General features: G+C 44.2%; 1 protein-coding gene and 2 long non-coding RNA genes across 11 annotated transcripts in view; 2 read left to right on the top strand and 1 right to left on the bottom strand.

The window, feature by feature from the left end:
* Positions 1-8115, bottom strand: part of NAV1 (neuron navigator 1) — a 287843-nt gene that overhangs the window by 77281 nt on the left and 202447 nt on the right. The window lies entirely within an intron of this gene.
* IPO9-AS1 (IPO9 antisense RNA 1) overlaps positions 1-8115 on the top strand; it is a 141304-nt gene that overhangs the window by 79871 nt on the left and 53318 nt on the right. The gene's annotated exons all lie outside the window — the stretch shown is intronic.
* The window catches only part of LOC124904483 (uncharacterized), a 55488-nt gene that overhangs the window by 27854 nt on the left and 19519 nt on the right, over positions 1-8115 (top strand). The window lies entirely within an intron of this gene.

Raw genomic sequence — 8115 nt, 5'->3', positions numbered from 1 at the left:
TTTGAAACTTCCAATATAGTCTTTATGGAAACAACTTTCTTTTTATGCTCATATTTCATCAATTTATGTAATAATTATATTATCCAAGTTCAACTGGCATAAACAGGTTTGGGAGCAAATGCAATTCTAGGAAAGCATTCAACTTGATTGGTGGAGCAGAAGGATGCAGGCACATTTGAGAGCAGCCTGTTGGCAACCTGTGCTCCGTGTGCAGAAGGCACACAGTCAGAGGGAATAGTGAGCAAGTTGGTGCAAGGGTTGTGCTCTATCTGATGCCCAGAACCATTTTGGAAAGACAAAAGTGAAATTCACAAGGCTGAAGACATCATCACAGCTCCCCTTCTGACTTTTGCTGCTTTTCAGTATATTTCTCTTTGCTTCACCTCTGAATTTTTTTGCTAAGTGGGGATGAGGAAGTGAGGCTAATAATTGTTATTGCTGAATCATTGGGCTGAAATCACATGGCCAGCGTTATTTAACTTTAAGACATTATTTCGCAGGTAGAATTGTTCTCAGTTAGAGAGAGTCTTTTTCTTTTTTTGAAACGGAGTCTCACTCTGTTGCCCAGGCTGGAGTGCAGTGGCATGATTTCAGCTCACTGCAACCTCCGCCTCCCGGTTTCAAGCAATTCTCCTGCCTCAGCCTCCCGAGTAGCTGGGATTGTAGTCACCTGCCACCATGCCTGGATAATTTTTGTATTTTTAGTAGAGATTGGGTTTCGTCATGTTGGCCAGGCTGGTCTCGAACTCCTGACCTCAAGTGATCTGCCTGCCTCGGCCTCCCAAAGTGCTAGGATTACAGGTGTGAACCACCACGCTGGGCCAGAGAGAGTCTTAGTTCAACTTTATAAAAGGGACATGGGGTAGCTAAGAGCCTTACCTGAGCAGACTACTACGTCAAAACCAGACACCAAACCCAAGGGTCCCAACTTCTTTAGGGGGCTCCTATAGGCTCCACTGTCTCCCTGGCACAGTAAATTTTTTTCCAAGGTCTTGTGGACTCTCTGGGGATCAAAGCTGCTTTTACAATGAATAGCTCTGTGCAAATTCCCAGAATTAGTTTCTCAGATAGCAGGAATGCTCCTAAATCAGGTTGTGCATGAGTAAGCAATGATTTCCTCCCTCCTGCAAGAGACTCATGGCTAGTTTCTCAGACAGAGGACGTGACTGGCCACTTTTGCCCCCTGAGGTTCTGAGGCCAGGGGTAGAGCTTGGTGGAGGCTGGTAGGTTCCCTGCTGAGGTAACTGCAGTGCAGCAGCCCAGATTCCATCTCCCTTTCTAAACACTGCACACATGCTAATGCTGGAGGAGCACAGCTTTGCCAGGGATTTCCATATGAGAACCCCAGAAAAGAAACAACTTGAAATATCATGGCAAACATGAGATGCACCCATAAAAGATGAAAGCAATTGCTATAAACCACGTGAAAAAGCTGGTGTTATTACATATACCTCCTCCTTCACACTTAATTCATAAGAGTGAGAGAGGAGGACCCTTTTAATAATGGGACAAGGAAAATTAATAAATTAACATACTGCTCATATACTGCAAAGGTAATAATTCCAAAACACATTATGAGCACTGAGAAGAGTAGTCTTTATGAAGTTTTCTCACTCAGAGAGCCGCCTTTCCAGGGAAAGGCAACTACAATCTTCCCCAGGGTCAGCTCAACACTAGCCTAGAAGGTGTCTGCAAAGTTGTTCGGCATGAATCCCATATATTGGGGACCCATTCCGGTGGGGTTGACGTAAGGAGCTCTGGGTTCTGGAAGAAGGATCCCAAGATAAGCACTCAGTGACAGCAAGCATGGGAATCTGAGTTGGCAACCCAGGGCCTGGAAACTACAAGGATGTTTATCTAGAATTTAGGAAGAGAGAAGCTTAAATGGGGGAAAAACAGTACCAATTATGGGCACCAAATACATATATAATATAGGAAATGGGAAGAAGTGGCAAAAACTTCCAGAACATGAATGTGTAGCATAATGTAAACAAGAGATTTCATTAGGGAACTTTTTCCAGACAAGAGTGAGGCATCCATTTCCAGGGATCTGATTAACCACTCAAGCACTGCTTTTCAACCACGTATCAGAGGGAATAAATAGGAGCAGGGTCTAGGATGTGTACCCTGGAACACCCTCTGCTGTCTTCGCCACTGTGTCTAGGGGCAAAATTCCAGAAACCCATGGCACCCAGGAATAAATCCCAAGTATGTGTTCTCCTTCAGGGCCTTTGAGCCACAATTCCACCCGCTGGCAGAAATACTACTTCTGTTTTAAAGCTGTTAAAAACCTATTTTTAAAATCGTACAGTTGGCAGATCACCAAAATCAAAACTTGATAGTCTAGTATAGTCTTATAGAACTATTTAAAATAATCCATGGGAAAATGTTCCAAGCCGGAAAAATAACAGTTTCACACATGCACACATGCACACAGGCAGGACCGTGTGTGCATGCACTAGGGCAACTGCCCGCACAGCCACGAGAATGGGGGCCCAGGAGGACGGTGAAGATGACAGAGTGGGATGGGCCATATGTTCCGATTTCTTTATACATTACCTATTGATCCACTGCCCCATCAATTCTCTTCAAGATTTATCTCAGGCCCAGGGTTCTTCTCCTTCCTCCTTCATACCTGAAAGTCTCCCTTCTACCTGAATAGTGTCTCCAAATTTCTTCATTTTTTTTTTTTTTTGAGACAGGGTCACACAGGCTGGAGTGCATTGGCATGACTGGAGCTCACTGCAGCCTCGACCTCCTGGGCTCAAGCGACCCTCCCATCTCAGCCTCCCGAGTAGCTGGAACTACAGGCGTGTGCCACCAGGCTCGGCTAATTTTTTGTATTTTTTTGTAGAGATGGAGGTTTCCCCATGTTTCCCAGGCTGGTCTTAAACTCCTAGGCTCAAGCGATCCACCTGCCTCAGCCTCCCAAAGTGCTGGGATTACAGGCACGAGACACTGCACCTGGTCATTCTCTCCAAATTTTGATGCAGTCTACATTTGAACTTCCATGAGTTTCCCACACTCACTGCGCTCCTAACGTGCTGCTCCTTGACCTGGGCATAAATCTTCCCTTACATTTCTGACTTGCTTGCTTCCTATTTCCAGCTACTGTTATTCCCCAATAACTGTTAAATATCCAATTCTATTACAAGTTAATCATAGTGTGGAATGGGAATAGGTTGTCTTTTGTTATGTTTTTAGTGATTAACAGAATTTCTTGGCACATAGTAGGCAATGAATAAATACTTGCTGGTGGATTTGCTTCCATTTTATGTACCTGTTATGTTTCAGGTGACATGATTTAACCTAATCTGAAGGGCTCTGTGTGTGACATGACACAGCATAAATATGGTATGTCCAAAGCTGTACAGCTATATTAGCTCTTACAGTGGTATCCTATCAGCTATTTTTTGTCATCATCAAAAGATCATTACTAAGTTCCACATATGCTGCACTTGGATAAAATCCCCTGGCCCCTAGAAACTTATAATTGGACAAAACTATCACCATATGATGAGTAAATATGGGGAAAATATATATAGATATGTCTAAAAGCAAGACTAGGCATGGTGGCTCACACCCATAGTCCCAGCAGTTTGGGAGGCTGAGGTGGGTGGATTGCTTGAGCCCAGGAGTTAGAAAACAGCCTGGACAACACGGCAAAACCCGGCCTCTACAAAAAAAAAATTAGCTGAGCATGGTGGCATGCACCTGCAGTCCCAGCTGCTTGGAGGCTGAGGTGGGAGGATTGCTTGAGGCTGGGAGGCAGAGGTGGCAATGAGCGGAGATGGCGCCACTGAACTGTAACATGAGTGACAAAGCCAGACCCTCTCAAAATAAATAAATAAATAAATACAATAAAATTAACTTCCCTGGAGGCTGGGGAACCTCATTAGCAGCTCTTCTTTATAGGAAATGACCATTCCAAATGGGAACTTGATTTTCAAGCTTGTAGAAAGTACCCAGCTCTTTAGATTTACATTTAGTCTAGGGAGGAGTGGCTGTATAGCCAGCCAGAGCTGGGTTTGAATTTCTGCTCCACTACTTACTGACTGACTTAGGACAGGCACTTTCCCTCCCTGAACATATGCACACATCAGAAAAATGGTCATGTCACCATCAGTCTTTCAGGCTAACTGGCAGAGTAAATAAGATAACAAAGAAAACACCTGTAAAGCACCCAGCTCAGTACCCAGGAAATCAGAGGTGGGTACACAACTTTCCTCTTCTCCCCTCTTTTGAATAACTCATCCATTATTCGAATGGCACCTGCAACAATACACTAAGTAGGAAAACTGGTTCGTGAGGAAATTCATACTTGCTATATATCCTTTGTAAGTCCATGGGTTACATCAAGCATTCCTTGATTATGCTCAATACTTAAGGACCAGTGGCCAGACTGTTTTGTATGTGTGTACATATGCATGTGTGTGGGAGGGATATTTGATATTCTTTCTTTTTCAATATTTCTTACCCAATCATGAGTCAGAGCCTTTATGGGATAAAGGTTTCCTAAGATGTAAACGTCCAAGAATTGAGCATTTCTAGGAAATTCCTGAAGCATCCCAAGAAAGTTAGGCTGAGGATGAATTCTCACATCCTACACATGCTCCACAAGTGTAGAATTATTCGATTCTGCTTCAATGGCAAGGGCAAGGACAGCTGAAAGACAGTCTATTATTCCATGAACTAAACGTGAGCTGACACTGACACCCAGGTCCAGAGCAAACAAGCCAGTGGCACTATCAAAGACCTCCAGATAGGATTCCTCCAGATAGCAGTGAAAAATTCATTCAGTTGTTTGTCTCAGAGGATTCTGTCTTAGATATGAAGTCTGTGTGACTGATGAAGGCACAGTGATGATGGGTCTAGGCAGAGAAGTTGGAAGATGACACAGAACCTCTCAATTGGGAAAAACTTCCCCCTCTTTCCTCAAATAAGCTCTTGTCCCTCTGGAAAACTCTTAGTTTCTCTTCAAAGCCCTAAAGAAAATGCTGCCTCCTCTAGGAAGCTCTCCAGGACCACTCAAAGTATGGCCCCTGCTTGCTGGCTTTCAGTTACTGCACATATGACCTGGTATCACAGTTACTTGCTGCCTTCTGCCTCCTCAACCAGACTGCATCCTCCTGCATTATCCCCTCTCATATTTCTCATGGTTTGAAATAATATATTTAAAGTATTGGCTAACATTGATTGATCTGTTTTCATTGTAAGAAAACATAGCTCCTAAATGCAGGGACTACGGTCTGCCTTACTGCTCACTATTCTATCGCCAGTACCCAGAACTTTGCCTGGCATCTGGGAAGTGCTCATTAGAGTTTGTTGAATGAATGAATGAATAAATAAATAAATAAATAAATAAATAAATACATACATACATACATAGCCGTCAGCTCCTTAGGGTTTTGTCTGTTTCTCCAGCACCCAGCATAGTGGCTGGCACAAAGTTGTCAGGGAGGAAAGGTTAAATGAACAAAATTGCTTTTTAAAAAAATCATGTTTTGACCGGGTGTGGTGGCTCATGCCTGTAATCCCAGCACTTTGGGAGGACGAGGCGGGTGGATCACCTGAGGTCAGAAGTTCAGACCAGCCTGACCAACATAGAGATACCCCATCTCTACTAAAAATACAAAATTAGCTGGGCATGGTGGTGCATGCCTGCAATCCCAGCTACTCGGGAGGCTGAGGCAGGAGAATCGCTTGAATCTGGGAGGCACACATTGCGGTGAGCTGAGATCATGCCATTGCACTCCAGCCTGGGCTCGAAACTCCATCTCAAAAAAACAAAAAAAATCATCTTTTAAGTTTTAAAAAGTGGTCTATTTTTATGTAAATTGCTATCCGAACCAGGAATGTATAAATATGCCATCCTCATTAGCATATAATTTGGACTGAATAGAAACCTGAATATGGGCAATGACGAATTTAAGTAAAAATCAGAGATATATTCTAAGCTGGGAACTGTTCCATGTATTATACTCATAGGCATCCTCATTAGAGTCCTAGTAAGACGGAAGAAAAAGATGCTAAAAAAAAAATCTAAAGAATTTGGGAGAGACTCTTGCTTCTGGGAATGACTTCACGTGGTCATAATTCCACTTATCAAAGCCCACATGTTTAAAGCATTCTGCTCTTCACATTTTCTCATTGTCATTACATCCCAGTAAGGTAGATCAGTCAGGAGCTATACCCATTTTATAGAGAGGAAAACTGAGGCTAGAGGCTATGCAATCTCTGTAAGGTCACAAAGCTAATTAGTAGTGGAGTGAGTTCTAAATCAGGTCAGCTGACTCCAAGTTTAGTAATCTTCCCACTCCCCACTGGTTGGGTGGCAATTATAATTTTCACCTCATTCCAACTAAAGTCGCAGGCCAACTCTAAACCTTTGCTGAGTCCTCCAATTACTCTCAACTTCTGCATCTTCAGCATTTAGTACTCCTGGGGCCTCAACTGGTATTGGTAAGAATAGTCTCCTTATAGCATAGTAGTTAGGGGTTGGCTTTAGAGTCAGACAGACCTAGGTATGAGGACAAATCCCACTACTGTGATCTTTAGTATGCTTACTTAACCTCCTTGTGCCTCAGTTTCTTCATCTGTGAAATGGGATGATAATAATATATACCTCATACGGTTGTTGTGAAGATTAAATGAAAAAATGGTTACAAAGCACTTAGTATGGCTTGTGTTTTACAGCCTCATGTTAAAATGAGAAAAGGTGATTAGCTGAGATGTTAGACACGGACTGTCCCCCCTATTAAGATGCCTTCTGCTGATTAAGTCCCTCCCTCATTCCTCCCAAGCTCAGGGCAGGGGCTTTGCAGGAAGAGGTTAATCCAGCAAGTGTGGTTTGCCTGCGGTGTGTGTGCCTAGTCCCATAAAATCCTCTAACGAGAAGCAGCTCATTGGCTTGGCTGTCCCTAGGTATTCTGTCCTCTCACAGAGGCTGAGTTTGTGCCAAGCCGAAGCCCTCTGCCCCAGGGAGTCTCTGTGGGTTGAGTGAGGCAACCGTAGTGAGCGAGTCTTGTTCCCACTGATCCCCAGGCTCTAGCTAAGGGTTCTTTCCAGGAGGGAGTCTAGGAGTGCTGAATGGGATAGATGCCTGGACTTCATGCTTGGAAGACACTGAAGAACAGTGTTTGCTGGGACAGGAAGAGAAGGAGTCTCCAGGAGAGACCATAATGTTTGAGATACGCAAGAACAGTGCTTGTGGGCACAGGCTTCCATGATAGATGGAAGAATCCCAGGCATCCAGAGAAGAAATACATCTGCTCTGAAACAATGAAGAGGCCATGGACTGATCACAGCTCACTCATCAAGAGCTGGTCATGGAGATACCTGAGGGCCAATTAAGTCATTCACCCAAATACCCTCACATCTTCCCAGTGCTGCCTCCTTTGGAGTTTAAGGGAAACCTGATTCTGGAGGGTAAGCATCTCTTTGATCCCTGCTGGCCTCAGCCTAACATCATTTACAGGGAAAGTTTTGAGCCCTCCCCAGAGCAAAGGCTTGGGCTAAGCTCCCCCTCTGTGAATTGGAGCCAGGCTAGTTAAATTTTATATGTGAAGTGTGGCAATTCGAGGAATGACCTCCACTTTACAACATCCCCTGTCTCCTTGCCTACCAATAGCAATTGACCTGAAAGTCTTGGGCTTGGATGGAAAGGAAACCACAGGCCTAACCCAGCTCCACCCTAGTAGGCTGGGTAGGTGTAACATGACCTGCTCCTCAACCTGGGCTATGGCAGACAGGTACCCGCCCTGGCACACCTGCCCAGAAGTCTGTTTCTGGTAATGAGCTAGGTGAGTATTCAATAGCTATGGCCCCAGGATAGGGCACTAAGCTCTCTTTATAAGGGCAGGTTCCCATGAGATGGAGTTGGGTAAAGGAAGGAGGCGGGGAGAATATCAATTCAAAAGAAAGAATGAGGTAGCCTAGAAAGGCTGTTGAGTAGGAAGGAAAGAGTGATAGGCTCAGAGAAAGGGCATTGGGGTCACTTAGAGGACTTGCACACCCTCCAGGCATTGGGGAAGCAAAGAATTTAAGAGTAGAGGCAGTGCAAATATTGTTTGGGTGGCAATTATAATTTTCCTTGGGCACACCCTATGTGGATCT

This window comes from Homo sapiens, chromosome 1, assembly GCF_000001405.40.
Source record: "Homo sapiens chromosome 1, GRCh38.p14 Primary Assembly".
NCBI classification, from domain to species: Eukaryota; Metazoa; Chordata; class Mammalia; order Primates; family Hominidae; genus Homo; species Homo sapiens.
The sequence above is the reverse complement of the archived record's forward strand: the minus strand, read 5'-3'. Positions and strand labels throughout refer to the sequence as shown.